The sequence below is a fragment of the Homo sapiens genome, chromosome 11 (genome assembly GCF_000001405.40).
Source record: "Homo sapiens chromosome 11, GRCh38.p14 Primary Assembly".
Lineage (NCBI taxonomy): Eukaryota > Metazoa > Chordata > Mammalia > Primates > Hominidae > Homo > Homo sapiens.
Genome location: NC_000011.10, coordinates 75,967,711 through 75,989,504, shown reverse-complemented (window position 1 = coordinate 75,989,504; position 21,794 = coordinate 75,967,711). Strand labels below are relative to the sequence as shown.

Here is a 21,794-nt window from a genome sequence, read left to right as displayed (position 1 = left end):
TTTTCAGACAATAGATAAGAGGCAGCCTAGTATAATGATTCCTGAGAGAAGGAAAACAAGAAACGTGAGCCCTATAACGGCTCCAAATCACTACATGGGGAGTGTTTCCAGGCCACAATGCAGAGGGTGAACAAACACAAAGAAAGTTCCAGAAGTGGCCGGGCATGGTAGCTCACACCTGTAATCCTAGCACTTTGGGAGGTAGGCGGATCACTTGGGGTCAGGAGTTCAAGACCGGGCTGGACAACATGGTGAAACCACGTCTCTGCTAAAAATTCAAAAATTACCCAGGCGTGGTGGTACACGCCTGTAATCCTAGCTACTGAGGAGGCTGAGGCAGGAGAGTCTCTTGAACCCAGAAAGCTGCAGTGGGCTGAGATGACACCAGTGCACTCCAACCTGGGCAAAAGAGTGAGACCCCATCTCAAAAAAAAGGAAAAGAATAAAGTTTAAAAAAAATGATGAATAAACTCAAAATACACTGTTAAGATAGGGAAGAAAAAACATATAAAGCGTATATTTGATAAAGAACATATCCAGAATATAAAAAGAACTCTTACAACTTAATAATAACGTTACCATCCATCCCCCTTCCCCACTTTCCAAAAAACAGATGAAAGATCTAAACAGACATTTCATCAGAGGAAAGAAACAGGTAACAGATAAGCACAAGAAAAGATGCTCAGCCACAATAGTTATCAGGGAAATACAAATTAAAACAATGAGAAACCACTACATACCCACTAACATGGCTAAAATCTAAAATTAATGTTTAGATGTGGACTAAGTGAAACTCTCATACATTGCTAGTTGAAAATGCATAACAGCTTAGTAGTTTTTAAAAAGTTAAACACACATTTACTATACCCCAGCAATCCCACACCTAGTTATTAATATTTAACCAAGAGAATATACCCACACAAGGGCTTATACTTGAATATCTATGCAGCTTTATCCACAATAATTCAAAACTGGAAACAAACCCAATGGCCATTAACAGGTAAATGTATAAACAAGTTGTATGTACATACAGTGAATACTACTCAGCAATGAAAAGATGAATTCCTGACACATACAACCACATAAATCCCAAAGCTACTATGCTAAGTGAAAAAGAGCCAGATATAAAAAGTGCATATTGTATGATTCCATTCATATGAAATGCTAGAAAAGGAAAATGGTATCAGAAAGCACATCAGTAATTGCTAGTGGTCAAACGATGGAGGAAAGAACTGACTACAACAAGGCCAAAAAGCTGTTTACAATGATAGAAATGTTATCACTGATTGTGGTGGTAGCTACCTGCCTGAATACATTAGCTAAACTCATCAAACTGTGTATTTTAAATTGATTAATTTGATTGTAAAATATACCTCATTAAAACTGATTTTTAAGAAAATAAAAAAAACAAAGAAATGAAAATTCACATATTGAGCTCTTATCAATTCATTAAAAGAACAGTTAATGCGGCCGGGCTGGTGGCTCATGCCTGTAATCGCAGCACTTTGGGAGGCCAAGGCGGGCAGATCACCTGAGGTCAGGAGTTTGAGACCAGCCTGGCCAACATGGCAAAACCCCATCTCCACTAAAATTACAAAAATTAGCCAGGCATGGTGGCAGGTGCCTGTAATCCCAGCTACTTGGGAGGCTGAGGCAGGATAATCGCTTGAACCTAGCAGGCAGAGGGGTGCAGTGAGCCGAGACCACGCCATTTTACTCCAGTCTGGGAGACAAGAGCGAAACTCCATCTCAAAAAAAAAAAACAGTTAATGCAAAAATGACAAAATGGGTAAAGGATGCAAAACGGTAAACCACAAAATAAGAACTACAAAAATGCTTATAGTAAACCTTCTATGTTTTATTAAACCCTCTATGAAATATTAAAGGCTTTCACTGAGACTGGAAATGAGAAAAGGATATCCACTGATACTACTTCTATTTAATATTGTACTGGATGTCTCAGACAACACAATCAGGTAAGAAAAAAGTTTTAAAGGCATACGTATTAGGAAATGAGAAATAAAAATGCCATCATTTGCAGGTGAGATGACTGTAAAAACAGAAAATTCAAAACAATCTAACAATTATTAGAACTAGTTAATAAGTTCCTTGGATATAAAATTAACATACGAAAATCTGGTGTAAGAAGCATGTAAGTCATTAGGTAAATTTGAATCAAAACTACAATGAGAAACAATGCTATATTCAGTAGGATGGCTATAATTAAAAGGAGAGATAATAACAGATATTGGTGAGAAAATGGGGAGATTGGAACCCTCATATATTGTTGGTAGGAATGTAAAACAGCTGTTGTGGAAAATGGTTGGCAGTCATTCAAAAAGTTAAAAATAGAGTTCTCATATGACCCAGCAATTCCACTTCCAGGTGTACGTAACAGGAATGAAATCAAACATCCCTACAAAAAGTTGTATATGAATGCTCATAAGCAGCTTTATCTGTGATAGACAGAAAGCGGAAACAACCCAAATGTCCAACAACTGATGAGTGGATTTTTAAAATGTGACATATCCATATAACTGAATGTATTATTCAGGAGTAAAAATGAATTAGTGATGCATGATACAGTGTGGATGAACCTTACAAATATTACGCTAAACAAATGAAGTTGGTCATAAAAGACCACAATATTGCATGATTCTGTTTATAAAAGAATGTCCAGAAAAGGCAAATCTAGAGACAGAAGGTAGGGGGGTGGTTACTTAGAACTGGGGGAGGGGAAGTGTGGAATAACTGCTAATGCACATGAGTTTTCTTTTAGGTAGGACAATCAGATTGTGGTGATCACTGCACAACTCTGTGAATAAACTAAGAAAAACTGAATTATACACTTTCAATGGCAAAATTATATGGTATGGGAATTATATCTCAATAATCCGATTTTTTAATTTTCTGCAATTTTTTATATTTGTAACAAATAATTAAAATCATTACTAATTTTAGTGTAATGAAATTTAATTATAATGCAACTAAATTAGAATGTAAATAAATAACCACAGCAAGACTGCAGCTGCAGGGCTGTAACTGTAACATTAACAATTACTAATCTGTCTATAAGGCTTCCGGTGAATTTTTCTTTAAACATAATAAATACTAATACCACTTAAAAAAAACTAATTAATTGTACATCTATATACCAGAAACTAGTAAAAATAAGATTTAAAGATATGTACAATAGTATCATAAAACAACAAAAAATAGAAATAAATTCAATGAATCATGGGAAAGACCCATACACTATCTTATTTCGATAACGTTTTGTAAAGAAGATCTAATAAACAAAGGCATATATCATTTTCTTGGGAAGGAAGCCTCAATATTGTAAAGATGTCTATTATCCCCAATTACATTTGATAAATATATTCAATGCAGTTCCATCAAAATCCTAGCAAATCCCAGCAATGAGGTATGACAATTAAGAAAAAATATCCTAGCAAGGTTTTCTTTTCTATGTAGAAATTCACATGAAAATGACATAGGGCAAAAATAACTGAGGTAATCTTGAAGAAAAACAATTAAGCTGAAGAACTTTAATGGATATCAACACCTATTATAACATGAAAAAAATTAAAACAGCAAGATAATGGCAAAGGACCAGAAAAATAGATCAATAGAACAGAACAGAGGGTTCTTAACAGACTTACAAGCAAATGGTCATCTGATTTATGAGAAAAGCAAAACTGCAACGCAATGGTGAAAGGATGATCTTCAGTGAATGGTGCTGGGTCAACTGACTATCAATACGAAAAAAAATAATCTCGACTCCTACCTTACATCACATACAAAAAGTAATTCCAGATGAATTATAGATATAAATGTAAGAAGTAAAATAGTAAAGTATTTTAAAGAACACATAGAAAAACAACTATAAAATCTTAAAATAGATAAATATTTCTCCAAGTAGTCACAAAAAGCCTCATCTATGAAAGACTGATAAAATGGAACTTCTGTTCATTTAAAGGTATCATTAAAGAGTGAACGAGCAAGCCACAGAATGGGAGAATATATTTTTAAGCATATGCCAAAAAAAGAACCCATATCCATAATATATAAAGAAATCTTACAAACAAAAAGACAGTCAAACCAAACTTTTTTTATTAATGGGCAAAAGATTCAAACAGGTATATCACAAAAGAGTGTATCTCAGTCAGCAAGAAGCATATGAAATGTTTATAAAATTTATAACATATGAAAGACTAACTTCATTAGTCTTCAGGAAAATAAAAATTAAAACTGCAAGAGGATATTACAACATATCCAACAGAAAGGCTAAAACGAAAAATACAAATTACCAAATGCGATAAATACAAAATATACAAAAAAAAAAAAAAAGAAAAGAAATTCCTGACAAGGATGTAGGAAGGAGCAACACTGGACAGAGGGGAGATAAACTGGCACAATCATATTGGAAAACCATTGGGCACAATCTACTAGAGCTGAAGATACGTACATTCTCTTGACTGTAATTCTACTCCTCAGTTTCTACTCAACTGAAATACCTAAAAATCTTTATTAAGAAACGTATGAAAGTTCTTCACTCAGAAACCTAGAAGGTTCATGGAAACATTAACTCTAATGTTCCCAAAATGAAAATTACTGAAACCAACAGCAAGAGTAGATAAATAAATTCACACTTATATAATGGAATACTATTTGGCATTAAACACGAACAAACTGCAACCACATGAAGGTAAGAATGACTCTACAAACATAATGTTGAAAAGAGCCACCACATGTACATATATGATTCTATTTCTATAAAGTTCAAAATTAGGCAAAACCAATCCGGTTTGAGTCTTGGCAGTGGCTAGTCTGGCTGGAGATGTGGTAAATGGAAGGAAGCGTGAGGAGGCTTTGGGGTCCTGTTTCTTGATTGAGATTCTGCTCACATGGGTATGTTTGCTTTGTGAAAATTCAAGCTCTGTGGACACAACTTCTCCATAACTTACCATGGGGATACATCCTGATAAACCCATTGTAAGTTGAAAGTATCATAAATTGAAAATGTATTTAATACACCTAACCTACTGATCATGAAACCTTAGCCTAGCCTACTTTTAAGGTGTCAGAACACTTTTATTAGCTTACAGTTGGGCAAAATCATCTAACACAAAACTTATTTTATAACACAGCATTGAATACCGTACACAGATGAGCACTTTGTAGACTTGATGGGATGTGAAAACATAAAACACAATATCCAAAAAACACTAGCAACAGAGTACATTATAGAGTACCGGTTGTTCACCCTCATGATCATGTGGCTGACTGAGAGCTGCAGCTCACTGTCACTGCCTAGCATAGCAAGAAAATATCATACCACATACTGCTAGCCTGGAAAAAGATCAAAATTCAAAATTCATAGTATGGTTTCTACCACATGTATATAACTTTTGCACATTGTAAAACTGAAAAATCGTACGTTAAATCATCATTAAATCAAACCATTGTAAGTCCGGGACGATTTGAATACAGATCTGTACACTTGTCTCTATGGACTAACTTCAAAATACTTGCAAAAATATTTTAAAAATTTGAGAAAATTCTATCACCATACAATCATGTACTGCATGATGATGTTTTAATCAACAACAAACCACATACAAGATGGCGGTCCCACAGATTATAGCATAGTATTTTTATTCTATGCTTAGATATATTTAGATACATAAATACTCACCATTGTGTTATAGTTGCCTACAGTATTCAGTATGGTAACATGCTGTACAAGTTTACAGCCATATAGCCTAGGTGTGTAGTAGTAGTTTATACCATCTGAGCTTGTGTAAACATACTCTATGATGGCAGCTCAGCAAGGAAATCACCAAAGGATGCATTTCCAGAATATATCCCTGTCATTAAGTGATGTGTGACTGTATTTACACAAAAAATGACTATTTGAGCTTGTGAAGAAGAAGAAAGGAGAACTACTGAATGTGGAGGTTAGGCTGTTTGTATGGTATTTCCACTCACCTTTGTCTTGTAATGCAATTTGTTGCTTATGCAGTAATGCCACCTCCCGTCCCAAAGCTTTCTTCTGCCGTTCCAGTTCATTCTGAAGCACCAAAATTTTTAACTGCAGGCATTCACTTTTTTTTTTCTAAATAAATAAAATCACAGGTATATTTATGAATATAAATGTCATGACTATGAATAATTACATACTCACAATGTTTAAAAATAAATAATGGCTTAAAACATTTTAATACTCATCAAACTTATGGAACTCTTGAGTAACTTAATTACCAGCACCATCCTTTTAATGAAAATCATATAGAAATAAGCAAAGAATAAGAGTAAAAGTAAATCTTAAGTCTGGGGACCCAACAGACACTACACAAAATATCTCAGGTACCTTCCCTGATACCACAATACAATACAATAAGATTTTTAAAACTTAATAATAAGTAAGTTCTCAAAAAGTTAAATACAGAGGTACCATAAGACCCAGAAATTCCACTTCTAGGTATATACCAAGAGAACTGAACACATGTCCACACAAAAACCTGAATACTAATGTTCATAGCAGCATTACTCATAATAGCCGAACGACATAAAAAACCCAAATGTCCACCAACTGATGAAAGGATAAATAAAATGTGGCCTATCCATACAATCAAATATTATTTTGTAATAAAAAGAAATTAAGTAATGACAAATGCTACAACATGGATCAACCTTAAAAACATTATGCTATGTTAAAGAATCCAGTTTTAAAAGGCCACACACTATACGGCTCCATTTATATGAAATGTCCAGAATAGGCAAATCCATAGAAACAAAAAGTAGATTTCCACGTTTGCCAAACCAAACCGAGGTGCTCTAACCCCCCTGCCCGTTTCAAAGAAGGCCAAGCAGAGGCCTGAGGTTTTCATCCCTGCTAGGCAGTAACCAAACGAGTCCCATGTGGTAACTACTGACACCACATGGGGATCCTGGACTTTTACCACCCACCTGTCTGTAATAAGATAACCCTCTCCCACCCCCAATGCAGTGGTATTAGAGAAGGCCTAGTTGAGAGTCACTTTCACTCTACCCAGTGCTAATGAGGCCACCCTCCTTTCTGTGATATCAGTGGAAGATATGTGGGGAGAAGTAACAAGGCATCTCTCCTCCTCCCAGCTAAGAATTTATCATTGGAGGCCTAGTGGGGAGCCACTCCTGGCCAGTATTAATTAAGGCAAGGGGAGCTTTCTCCCCTGCCACTTAGCCAATGGAAGCTGCATAGGGAATCTGGACTTCTATACTCATCTGGCAGTAATGAAATGGCACCTCTTCTTTCCCCTACCAGAGAGGTCTCAGAGGAAGCCAGCTAAAACAGAGGGCTTAAATAAGATCCAGAGACTTAAAACTTAATGCCCAAAATGTCCAAGTTTCAATCAAAAACCACTCACCACACCAAGAACCAGGAAAATGCCAAACAAAATGAAAAAGGACAAACAACAGATGCCAATACTGACATGATAGACGTGTTACAATTTTCTGATAAATACCTGAAAGTAGCCAACATAAAAATGCTTCAATAGCAATTAAGAACATGCTTGAAACAAATGAAAAAGTAGGAAAAAAAAAACTAGAAAGTCTCAGCAAAGAAACAGAAGATATAAAGAACCAAATGGAAATTTTAGAACAAAAAATAACAAAAACTCAGTGAATGGGCTCAATGGCAGCACAGAGGAAGCAGGGAAAAGTCTGTGAACAGAATACTGAAACTACCAATTTTAGCAAGAGAGAAAATAGCCTTGAAAAAAAATGAACAAAACATCAGGGACCTGTGTAACTATACCAAAAGAGCTAACTTTTGTGTCATCAGAATACTAGAAAGAAAAGAGAAACAGAGAAGGACTGAAAAAGTATTTGAAAAAATAATGGAGCCAGGCAAGATGGCTCATGCCTGTAATCCCAACGACTCAGTGGCTGAGGCAGGAGGATTATTCAAGCCTAGGAGTTTGAGGCTGCGGTAAGCTATGATGATGCCATTGTACTTCAGCCTAAGTATCAGAGCAAGACCCTGTCACACACACAAAAAAAAAACGAAAAGAAAAGAAATAGTGGCTAAAAACTTGCCAAATTAGGGGCAGGCACAGTGGCTCACACCTGTAATTCCAGCATTTTGGGAGGCTGAGGTGGGCAGATCACTTGGGGCCAGGAGTTTGAGACCAGCCTGGCCAACATAGTGAAACCCCATCTCTACTAAAAATATAAAAATTAGCCGGGCACGGTAGTGGGCACCTGTAATCCCAGCTATTCGGGAGGCTGAGGCGGAAAAATCGCTTGAACCTGGGAGGTGGAGGTTGCCGTGAGCCAAGATCATGCCACTACACTCCAGTCTGGGCGACAGGGCAAGACTCTGTCTAAAAATTTTAAATTTAAAAACTTACCAAATTAGGCAGAAGAAAGAAATCTACATATTCAAGAAGCCAGTTAAATCCAAATAGAATAAATCCAATACAGAAAAATCAATGAAACCAACAACTGGTTCTTTGAAAAGGTAAATAAAATTGATAAAACTCTAGCCAGGGCCAGGTCTGTAATCCCAGCACTTTGGGAGACTGAGGCACGTGGATCACCTGAAGTCAGGAGTTTGAGACCAGCCTAGTCAACATGGCAAAACCTCATCTCTACTAAAAATACAAAATTAGCTGGGCATGGTGGCAGGCACCTGTAATCCCAGATACTTGAGAGGCTGAGGCAGGAGAATTGCTTGAACCTGGGAGGTGGAGGTTGCAGTTAGTCGAGGTCACGCCATTACACTCCAGCCTGGGCAACGAGAGTGAAACTCCATCTCAAAAAAAAAAAAAAAATTCTAGCCAGACTCTTCAAGGAAAAAAGAGAAAAGGCAAAATTTACTAATATGAAGAAAGAGGGGTTATCACAATTGATCTCACAAACATCAGAAGAATAAAAAAACACTATAAACAACTCTATGCCCAGAAGTTTGGTAATTTAGCTAATATAAACCAATTCTTTGAAAGACAATCTACCAAAACTCACAGTAGGAAAAAGAGATAATAAAGCAATTAGGCTGGACATTGGCACATGGCTGTAATCTCAGCACTTTAGGAAGCCCAGGTGGGAGGATTGCTTGAGCCCAGAAGTTGGAGACTAGCCTAGGCAATACAGTGAAACCCCATCCATAAAAATAAAAAATAACAAAATTGGCTGGATGCGGTGGCATGCACCTATAGTCCTAGCTACTCAGAAGGCTGAGGTGAAAGGATCACTTGAGATCAGGAGTTCAAGGCTAGAGCGAGCCATGATCCTGCCACTATACTCAGTCTAGGCAACAGAGCAAGACCCTGTCTCAAAAAACAAACAAACAAACAAAACAGAGAGAGAGAGAGAAATTAAATTAACAATTACTAACCTTCAGAAACAGGGGAGAAAAAAAAAAGGTCTAGTTGGTTTCACAGTGAATTCTACTAAATGTTTAAGTAAGAAACAATACCAGAAAAAAGAGGCAGGGAGGTTCCAAGATGGCCGAATAGGAATAGCTCCAGTCTACAGCTTCCAGCGTGAGCGACGCAGAAGATGGATGATTTCTGCATTTCCAATTGAGGTGCCGGGTTCATCTCACTGGGGCTTGTAGGACAGTGGGTGCAGCCCACGGACCGTGAGCCAAAGCAGGGCAAGGCATCGCCTCACCAGGGAAGCACAAGGGGTCGGGGAACTCCCTTTCCCAGCCAAGGGAAGCCACGACAGACGGCACCTGGAAAATCGCACCCGGAAAATCAGGTCACTCCCACCCTAATACTGTGCTTTTCCAAAGGTCTTAGCAAACAGCATACCAGAAGATTATATCCCGCGCCTGGCTCAGAGGGTCCCACGCCCACGGAGCCTTGCTCACTGCTAGCACAGCAGTCTGAGATCAAACTGCAAGGCGGCAGCGAGGCTGGGGGAGGGGCGCCCACCAATGCTGAGGCTTGAGCAGGTAAACAAAGCTGCCCAGAAGCTCGAACTGGGTGGAGCCCACCGCAGCTCAAGGAGGCCTGCCTGCCTCTGTAGACTCCACCTCTGGGGGCAGGGCATAGCTGAACAAAAGGCAGCAGAAAACTTCTGCAGACTTAAACATCCCTGTCTGTCAGCTTTGAAGAGAGTAGTGGTTCTCCCAGCACAGAGTTTGAGATATGGGAACGGACAGACTGCCTCCTCAAGTGGGTCCCTGACCCCCAAGTAGCCTAACTGGGAGGCACCTCCCAGCAGGGGCCGACTGACACCTCATACGGCCAGGTGCCCCTCTGACACGAAGCTTCCAGAGGAATGATCAGGCAGCAACATTTGCCGTTCTGCAATATTTGCAGTTCTGCAGCCTCCACTGGTGATACCCAGGCAAACGGGGCCTGGAGTGGACCTCCAGCAAACTCCAACAGACCTGCAGCTGAGGGTCCTGAGTGTTAGAAGGAAAACTAACAAACAGAAAGGATATCCACACCAAAACCCCATCTGTACGTCACCATCATCGAAGACCAAAGGTAGATAAAACCACAAAGATGGGGAGAAACCAGAGCAGAAAAGCTGAAAATTCTAAAAATCAGAGCACCTCTTCTCCTCCAAAGGAATGCAGCTCCTTGCCAGCAACTAAACAAAGCTAGACGGAGAAAGACTTTGACGAGCAGAGAGAAGAAGGATTCAGAAGATCGGTAATAACAAAATTCTCCAAGCTAAAGGAGGATGTTCGAACCCATCTCAAAGAAGCTAAAAACTTTGAAAAATATTGGATGAATGGCTAACTAGAATAAACAGCGTAGAGAAGACCTTAAATGACCTGATGGAGCTGTAAACCATGACATAAGAACTATGTGATGCATGCACAAGCTTCAGTAGCCGATTCGATCAACTGGAAGAAAGGGTATCAGTGATAGAAGATCAAATGAATGAAATGAAGCTAGAAGAGAAGTTTAGAGAAAAAAGAGTAAAAAGAAATGAACAAAGCCTCCAACAAATATGGGACTATGTGAAAAGACCAAATCTATGTCTGATTGGTGTACCTGAAAGTGATGGGGAGGATGGAACCAAGTTGGAAAACACTCTGCAGGATATTATCCAGGAGAACTTCCCTAACCTAGCAAGGCAGGCCAGCATTCAAATTCAGGAAATACAGAGAACACCACAAAGATACTCCTCGAGAAGAGCAACTCCAAGACACATAATTGTCAGATTCACCAAAGTTGAAATGAAGGAAAAAATGTTAAGGGCAGCCAGAGAGAAAGGTCAGGTTACCCACAAAGGGAAGCCCATCAGACTAACAGCGGATCTCTTGGCAGAAACTCTACAAGCCACAAAAGAGTGGAGGCAATATTCAACATTCTGAAAGAAAAGAATTTTCGACCCGGAATTTCATATCCAGCCAAACTAAGCTTCATAAGTGAAGGAGAAATAAAATCCTTTACAGACAAGCAAATGCTGAGAGATTTTGTCACCACCAGGCCTGCCCTACAAGAGCTCCTGAAGGAAGCGCTAAACATGGAAAGAACAACCGGTACCAGCCACTGCAAAAACATGCCAAATTGTAAAGATCATCGATGCTAGGAAGAAACTGCATCAACTAACGAGCAAAATAATCAGCTAACATCATAATGACAGGATCAAATTCACACGTAACAATATTAACCTTAAGTGTAAATGGGCTAAATGCTCCAATTAAAAGACACAGACTGGCAAATAGGATGGAGTCAAGACCCATAAGTGTGCTGTATTCAGGAAACCCATCTCACGTGCAGAGACACACATAGGCTCAAAATAAAGGGATGGAGGAACATCTACCAAGCAAATGGAAAACACAAAAAAGCAGGGGTTGCAATCCTAGTCTCTGATAAAACAGACTTTAAACCAACAAAGATCAGAAGAGACAAAGAAGGCCATTACATAATGGTAAAGAGATCAATTCAACTAGAAGAGCTAACTATCCTAAATATATATGCACCCAATACAGGAGCACCCAGATTAATAAAGCAAGTCCTTAGAGACCTACAAAGAGACTTAGAGTCCCACACAATAATAATGGGAGACTTTAACACCCCACTGTCAACATTAGACAGATCAACGAGACAGAAAGTTAACAAGGATATCCAGGAATTGAACTCAGCTCTCTGCACCAAGCAGACCTAATAGACATCTACAGAACTCTCCACCCCAAATCAACAGAATATACACCCTTCTCAGCACCACATCGCACTTACTCCAAAATTGACCACATAGTTGGAAGTAAAGCCCTCCTCGGCAAATGTAAAAGAACAGAAATTATAACAAACTGTCTCTCAGACCACAGTGCAATCAAACTAGAACTCAGGATTAAGAAACTCACTCAAAACCGCTCAACTACATGGAAACTGAACAACCTGCTCCTGAATGACTACTGGGTACATAATGAAATGAAGGCAGAAATAAAGATGTTCTTTGAAACCAATGAGAACAAAGACACAACATACCAGAATCTCTGGGACACATTTAAAGCACTGTTTAGAGGGGAATTTATAGCACTAAATGCCCACAAGAGAAAGCAGGAAAGATCTAAAATTGACACCCTAACATCACAATTAAAAGAACTGGAGAAGCAAGAGCAAACACATTCAAAAGCTAGCAGAAGGCAAGAAATAACTAAGATGAGAGCAGAACTGAAGGAAATAGAGACACAAAAAAACCTTCAAAAAAATCAATGAATCCAGGAGCTGGTTTTTTGAAAAGATCAACAAAATTGACAGACCGCTAGCAAGACTAATAAAGAAGAAAAGAAGGAAGAATCAAATAGACGCAATAACAAATGATAAAGGGGATATCACCACCGATCCCACAGAGATACAAACTACCATCAGATAATACTATAAACACCTCTATGTAAATAAACTAGAAAATCTAGAAGAAATAGATACATTCCTGGACACATACACCATCCCAAGACTAAACCAGGAAGAAGCTGAATCGCTGAATAGAGCAATAACAGGCTCTGAAATTGAGGCAATAATTAAGAGCCTACCAACCAAAAAAAGTCCAGGACCAGACAGATTCACAGCCAAATTCTACCAGAGGCACAAAGAGGAGCTGGTACCATTCCTTATGAAACTACTCCAATCAAAAGAAAAAGAGGGAATCCTCCCTAACTCATTTTATGAGGCCAGCATCATCCTGATACCAAAGCCTGGCAGAGACACAATGAAAAAAGAGAATTTTAGATCAATATCCCTGATGAACATTGATGTAAAAATCCTCAGTAAAACACTGGCAAACTGAATCCAGCAGCACATCAAAGAGCTTATCCACCATGATCAAGTGGGCTTCATCCCTGGGATGCAAGGCTGGTTCAACATATGCAAATCAATAAACGTAATCCAGCATATAAACAGAACCAAAGACAAAAACCACATGATTATCTCAATAGATGCAGAAAAAGCCTTTGACAAAATTCAACAGCCCTTCATGCTAAAAACTCTCAATAAATTAGGTATTGATGGGACATATCTCAAAATAATAAGAGCTATTTATGACAAACCCACAGCCAATATCATACTGAATGGACAAAAACTGGAACCATTCCCTTTGAAAACTGGCACAAGACAGGGATGCCCTCTTTCACCACTCCTATTCAACACAGTGTTGGAAGTTCTGGCCAGGGCAATTAGGCAGGAGAAAGAAACAAAGGGTATTCAATTAGGAAAAGAGGAAGTCAAATTGTCCCTGTTTGCAGATGACATGATTGTATATTTAGAAAACCCCATCATCTCAGCCCAAAATCTCCTTAAGCTGATAAGCAACTGCAGCAAAGTCTCAGGATACAAAATCAATGTGCAAATATCACAAGCATTCCTATACACCAATAACAGAAAAACAGAGAGCCAAATCATGAGTGAACTCCCATTCACAACTGCTTCAAAGAGAATAAAATACCTAGGAATCCAACTTACAAGGGATGTGAAGGACCTCTTTAAGGAGAATTACAAACCACTGCTCAACAAAATAAAAGAGGACACAAACAAATGGAAGAACATTCCATGCTCATGGATAGGAAGAATCAATATCGTGAAAATGGCCACACTGCCCAAGGTAATTTATAGATTCAGTGCCATCCCCATCAAGCTACCAATGACTTTCTTCACAGAATTGGAAAAAACTACTTTAAAGTTCATATGGAACCAAAAAAGAGCCCGCATTGCCAAGACAATCCTAAGCCAAAAGAACAAAACTAGAGGCATCACAATACCTGACTTCAAACTATACTACAAGGCTACAGTAACCAAAACAGCATGGTACTGGTACCAAAACAGAGATATAGATCAATGGAACAGAACAGAGCCCTCAGAAATAATACCACACATCTACAACCATCTGATCTTTGACAAACCTGACAAAAACAAGAAATCCTATTTAATAAATGGTGCTGGGAAAACTGGCTAGCCATATGTCAAAAGCTGAAACTGGATCCCTTCCTTACACCTTATACAAAAATTAATTCAAGACGGATTAAAGACTTAAACATCAGACCTAAAACCATAAAAACCCCTAGGAGAAAACCTAGGCAATACCATTCAGGACAAAGGCATGGGCAAGGACTTCATGTCTAAAACACCAAAAGCAACAGCAACAAAAGCCAAAATTGACAAATGGGATCTAATTAAACTAAAGAGCTTCTACGCAGCAAAAGAAACTACCATCAGAGTGAACAGGCAACCTACAGAATGGGAGAAAATTTTTGCAATCTACTCATCTGACAAAGGGCTAATATCCAGAATCTACAAAGATCTTAAACAAATTTACAAGAAAAAATCAAACAACCCCATCAAAAAGTGGGCAAAGAGTATGAACAGACACTTCTCAAAAGAAGACATTTGGCCGGGCGCGGTGGCTCACGCCTGTAATCCCAGCACTTTGGGAGGCCGAGGCGGGTGGATCGTGAGGTCAGGAGATCGAGACCATCCTGGCTAACAAGGTGAAACCCCATCTCTACTAAAAATACAAAAAATTAGCCGGGCGCGGTGGCGGGTGCCTGTAGTCCCAGCTACTCGGGAGGCTGAGGCAGGAGAATGGCGTGAACCCGGGAAGCGGAGCTTGCAGTGAGCCGAGATTGCGCCACTGCAGTCCGCAGTCCGGCCTGGGCGACAGAGCGAGACTCCGTCTCAAAAAAAAAAAAAAAAAAAAAAAAAAGAAGACATTTATGCAGCCAACAGACACATTAAAAATGCTCATCATCACTGGCCATCAGAGAAATGCAAATCAAAACCACAATGAGATACCATCTCACACCAGTTAGAATAGAGATCATTAAAAAGTCAGGAAACAAGAGGTGCTGGAGAGGACGTGGAGAAATAGGAACGCTTTTACACTGTTGGTGGGACTGTAAACTAGTTCAACCATTGTGGAAGACAGGTGGCAATTCCTCAAGGATCTAGAACTAGAAATACCATTTGGCCCAGCCATCCTGTTACTGGGTATATACCCAAAGGATTATAATCATGCTGCTATAAAGACACATGCACACATATGTTTATTGCGGCACTATTCACAATAGCAAAGACTTGGAATCAACCCAAATGTCCATCAATGATAGACTGGATTAAGAAAATGTGGCACATATACACCATGGAATACTATGCAGCCATAAAAAAGGATGAGTTCATGTCCTTTGCAGTGACATGGATGAAGCTGGAAACCATCATTCTGAGCAAACTATCGCAAGGACAGAAAACCAAACACCTCATTCTCACTCACAGGCAGGAATTGAACAATGAGAACACTTGGGCACAGGGTGGGGAACACCACACACCAGGGCCTGTCGTGGGTTGGGGGGATGGAGGAGGGATAGCATTAGGAGATATACCTAATGTAAATGACGAGTTAATGGGTGCAGCACACCAACATGGCACATGTATACATATGTAACAAAACTGCACATTGTGCACATGTACCCTAGAACTTAAAGTATAAAAAAAAAGAAACAATTCCAGTTCTTCAGAATCTCTTCCAGAAATTAGAAGTTGATGAACACTTGCTAATTCATTCTATGAAGCCAGCATCACCCTAACACAAAAACCAAAGACACTACAAAATATTAGCAAATCAAATCCAACAATGTATAAGAATAATTACACAACATGGCAACATGTAATTTATCCCGGGTAGGCAAGGTTGGTTCAACATTCAAAGAGCAGTTAATGTAATTCATCACATCAACAGGCTAAGGAAGAAAAAATGGTATGATCATACATATTGATAGATGCAGAAAAAGCATGTGACAAAATCCAACTACGATTCATGATAAAAACTTTCAGCTAACTAGGAAAAGAGGGGAACTTCCTTAACTGGTAAAGAACATCTACCAAATAACCTACAGCTAACATCATACTTAATAGTAAGAAACTAGATGCTTATCCCCTAAGTTTGAGAACATGACAAGGATATCCCCTTTCGCTCCTATTCACCATAGTTATACCTGAAGTCCTAGCTAATGAAATAAGACAAGAAAAAGAAAGAAAAGCTACACGTGTTGGGAAAGAAGAAATAAAACTGTCTTTGGCTGCAGATAATATTATTGTTTCCATATAGAAAATCCAAAAGAATTGACAAACAAAACAAAAAAACACCCTCCTAGAAAAAGCAATTATAGCAAGATTGCAGAATATAGAATTAATAAGTATAAAAAGTTAGATGTCTTCCTGTGTAACAGCAATGAACAAGTGGAATCAAATTATCCAATTATCCATCAAATTATTTTGTTAATATCAAAACTGATTCTAAAGTTTATATAAAGGCAAAAGACCCAGAATATACAACAGAATATTGAAGGAGAAGAACAAAGTTGGAAGACTGACAGTAGCCAATGTCTAGAATTACCATAAGCTATAGTAATCAAGACAGGGTGGTATGGGTAAAAGAACAGACAAACAGATCAATCAAATGGAACAGAGAGCCTAGAAATATACCCAAACAAATACAGTCAAAGAATATTTGACAAAGAAACAAAAGCAACTCAATGCAGAAAGGACAGTCTTTTCACCAAATGATGAAACCACTGGACCGCCACATGCAAAAAAAGAAAGGAAAGAAGGAAGAAACAGAGTGAGTGCGAGAGGGACTAATCAATCTAGATACAGGTCTTATACCGTTCATAAAAAATTAACTCAAACCAGATCACAGATCTAAACATGAAATTAAAAATTATACTTCTAGAAGATAACACAGGAGAAAATACAGAAGACTCTGGGTTTGGAGATAACTTTTTAGACATAACACCAAAAGCAAGATCCATGAAAAAAGAAATTGGTATCTTGGAAATCTTTAAAATCTGCAAAAGATACTGTGTTAAGAGTAAAGACAAGCCACAGACTGGGAGAAAAACTATGCAAAAAAACATATCTGATAAAGAACTGGTCTCCAAAATATACAAAGAACTCTCATAAAAAAAAAAAATACAGACGGGGTCTCACTATGTTACCCAAGTGTGATCTACCACTTGGGCCTGGCCTCAAAGAGCTCTTAAAATTCAACATTAAGAAAACAAACAACCCTGGCTGGGCACGGTGGCTCATGCCTGTAATACCAGCACATTGGGAGGCCAAGGCTGGCAGATTAGCTGAGGTCAGGAGTTCGAGACCAGCCTGGCCAACATGGCAAAACCCTGTCTTTACCAAAAATACAAAAAAACATCTAGCCGGGCATGGTGGTGTACACCTGTAATCCCAGCTACTTGGGAGGCTGAGGGAGGAAAATCGCTTGAACCTGGGAGGTAGAGGTTTCAGTGAACCAGGATCGTGCTACAGCACTCCAGCCTGAGTGAAAGAGCGAGACTCTATCTCCAAAAAAAAAAAGAAAATGAACAACTCAATTTAAAAATGCAACAAAGAACTGAACAGGTATCTCATCAAAGAAGATATATAGATGGCAAGCATATGAAAAGATGTTTAACATCGTAAGTCATTAGGGCATTGCAAGTTAAAACAACAATGTGATACGACTACATACCCATTAGAATAAAATCCAAAACTCTCACACCACCAAATGCTGGCAAAGATATGGAACAACACGAACTGTCATTCATTGAAGGTGGGGATGCAAAATGGTACAGCCACTTTGGCAGAGTCTGGCAGTTTCTCACAAAGCTAAAATAGTCTTACTATACAATCTAGCAATCATACTCTTATATATTAACCTGGATACTGAAAACTTACGTTTACACAAAAACCTACACACAAATGTCTACAACAACTTTATTCATAATTGCCAAAACTTGGAAGCAACCAAGATATACTTCAATAGGTCAACAGATAAACTGTGGTATATATACAATGGAGTACTATTCAGTGATGAAACAAAATGAGCTATCAACCCATCAAAAGAGAAATTGTACATGCATATTGCTAAATGAAAGAAGCCAGTCTGAAAAAGCTACATACTGTGTGATTCCTACTATATGAAATCATGGAAAAGGTAAAATTATAGAGACAGTAAAAAGATCAGTTGCCAGAGGAGGGAGAAAAGGATGAACACGTGGAGGATAGGATATTTTTAGGGCAATGCAACTATTCTGTTTGATGCTGTAATGATGGATACATAATACATTTGTCAAAACTCATAGAACTGTATAACATAAAGAGTAAACCCTAATGTAAACTATGTACTTCAGTTAATAATAATGTATTAATATTAATTAATCAATATAACAATTGTACCACACGAGTACAAGATGTTTTAACAGAAGAAATTGGGGATGGGGTGGGTTATATGGGAACTCTGTACTTTCTGCCTAATTTTTTTTTTTTTTTTTTTTGAGATGGAGTCTCGCTCTGTTGCCCAGGCTGGAGTGCAGTGGCACAATCTCAGCTCACTGCAAGCTCTGCCTCCCGGGTTCACACCATTCTCCTGCCTCAGCCTCACAAGTAACTGGGACTACAGGCGCCCGCGACCACGCCCGGCTAATTTTTTTGTATTTTTAGTAGAGACAGGGTTTCACCATGTTAGCCAGGATGGTCTTGATCTCCCAACCTCATGATCCGCCTGCCTCGGCCTCCCAAAGTGCTGGGATTACAGGCATGAGCCATCATGCCCGGCCCTTTCTGCCTAATTTTTCTATGAATCTAAAACTACCTTGAAAAAGAAAGTTTACTTTTTAAGTTACATTAAAAATCAATTTTACTGAATACACATTTAATAAAATGAAATTCCTGACCCATTCTACCAGCCAGAGATACAATTAAACTTGTTGTTTGTTAACTTACGTTTCCATATAAATACTACATCAAACCATTGCTTAAACTTTACTCAGCCTCTTTTTTTCTCCAAAAGCCTTGCCTGAATTTACCTCCAGATACAAATCTGAAATTCTGTCCCCAAAATGAATATGTCTGTGCCTGCATATGTGTGCACACACATAATTACTGCACTATGAATGTGTCTTCTCTCCTAGTCTTTATCAGTGTCACTAATACACTTTTCATCATTTTTTATGACATAAATCTTAAGCAAACAGCAATTTGGTTATAGCTAGTAAATTTTTATCTCCTTCCTAAGGTATAAAGTAAACAATTAAAATTGTAACTACAAAACTCATCCATTAAATAAATAGGTTACCAGGATCCAGGATAAGCTGATAGAAAACTTTAAAAGGAAAAGGTTAGTATCTTGATTTGACTCACAATGAGGAAGCGTGGGAACTCAGTGAGATGCATCATGGTATGGCCTCGTTGAAGCAACGGGCATGGACAACGATTTTTGGCAATGTATTAAAAGTACTTACAGCATCATTTCTCACCCAAGATGCTTTCTTACTCATCCCTGACACACTGATTCTAAACAGATGGTATGATCATCTGTTAAAGACATTCAAGCTGAGAAAACAGCAGAAAAACTTATTTCCAATCATTATTATATTTAGCTTGAAAGGTCTATGAAATATGCCTTTCATAGAATATTCCTAAACAATTTTCCTGAACAAACCAAACATCAATAAAGGCCCTACTGCATGCTTCTAGATGAATGAGAAATGGTCTCTACTTTCTATGAATTTAGGTCTACTGGAGATAAAAGCCATTTTGCCCTGCCACCCCACTGTAAAAACAGAAACCAAAAGTCCACAAGGTTCTAAGACGCAGAAGCAACCCAGTGTCTATCAATAAATGAATGGATAAGCAAAATATGGTATATACATACAATGCAGTATTATTCAGCTTTAATCAGGAAGGAAATTTCTGCAATATGCTACACCATGGATGAAGCTTGAGGACATTACACTAAGTGAAACAGCCAGCCATAAAAAGGTATACACTGCATGATTTCACTTATATGAGTTACTCAGAGTACAGTCAAAGTCACGGAGACAAAAAGTAGAATGGTAGTTGCCAGGGGCTGGGAGTAGAGGGAGGCGAGGAGTTAGTGTTTAATGCGTACAGTTTCAGTTTAAAAGACTTCTGGAGATGGATGGTGATAATGGTTGCATGACATTCTGAAGGTATTTAATACCACTGGGCTGTACATTTAAAAATGAAATGAGATCATAAATCTTATATGTATTTTACCACAAAAATAATTGGAAAAAAAGTCAATGAGGCTGTTTATTATGAAAGAAAAAGGAACGAAGAAACAATCTGAGTTTTCTTTAGCAATGCAATAGTATAATCAAGAAGCCTAAGGTGTTCTTACATCACTGAGGAAAAAGATAGGTAAAATCTTTAGGAAGCAATCTTTTCCCACAAAGAGTGAGGTGTTCAACTTTCTTAACTTGAATTTTTCCACAAAATATGTAAATTGAATTCTACCTGGGCAGAGAAAGAAAATACAGAAAAAGAAAAGCAAATATTCAGAGAACACAGGGATATGCCTGGCTAGGAGGATAACCTGCTCTATTCCAGGGTACATACTGAGATATGTTTTCTAGATTTAAAGAACTAAGGTTACAAGTTAATCTAAATACTACATTAATATGGGAAGGCATATGTATAGTGTTTGTGTTATGGTCCATGTTCAGAAACTGGCTCATTTACAGAAATATATCAAGTCATTCAAAACCAGAATTGTTGGCTCCAATTTCTGATGAGTAAACAAACCCATGTGGGATCTAGTTCTACTTCCTTTCTAATGCATCAAAGATGAACTGCTCAAAGATCTTAATGTTCCATAATCTTCTAATGAGTTTCAGTGTTCTATTTATCTGTTTACTCCAAGTGTAATGTCACATATATTTCGCCAATAGATTACATTTAATTAGATTTTAGTGTTTTTATACAACACTATATGTGAACTGAAAATCACAGATACACACATTCCTATTTATGAGTCTCTGCCAAAAAAATGGGAAATGTTAAACATTCATTTCAGAAAGATGACTAACGTATAAATAACATATTATAGGTTGAATATGCCAAATCCTAAAATCTGAAGTCCAAAATGCTACAAAATCTGAAACTTTCTGAGCACCAATATGATGCTCAAGGAAAATGCTCATTGGAGTGTTTTGGATTTTGGATTTTTGATTTGAGATGTTCAACCAGTAATGGAACAAGTGTCTTCACATTGATCATATTGGAGCTAAAGCTTTTTGCCTTAGGTCAAAAGTTCCTCAAGCATGTTCCTGGGAATTGTGAGGGTTCCTGACATCTTTACAGAGTCTTGTAAGATAAAACATATTCGCATATTACTAAGCTGTATGCCTCTTTTCCACTCTCATTTTCTCATAAGTGTATGATGGAGTTTACCAGAGTCTGCGAGACTTACGATATTGCAACAGATTCACTGCAGAAGCAGATGTGAAAATCCAGGTGTCTTTTATTAGGCTAGACATTAGCTTAATAGCAGTT

At 38.2% G+C, this 21,794-nt stretch overlaps 1 protein-coding gene across 10 annotated transcripts in view; it reads right to left on the bottom strand.

Moving 5' to 3' along the window:
- The window catches only part of UVRAG (UV radiation resistance associated), a 329,023-nt gene that overhangs the window by 154,728 nt on the left and 152,501 nt on the right, over positions 1-21,794 (bottom strand). For all 10 annotated transcript variants that reach the window (NR_170160.1, NR_170161.1, NM_001386671.1 and 7 more), the window contains one exon: positions 5,992-6,118. Coding sequence is in view for 7 of the 10 variants with exons in the window: in NM_001386671.1 (NP_001373600.1) it covers positions 5,992-6,118 (127 nt within the window). In the remaining 3 variants the exon portion in view is untranslated. The remainder of the gene's footprint in view (positions 1-5,991; positions 6,119-21,794) is intronic.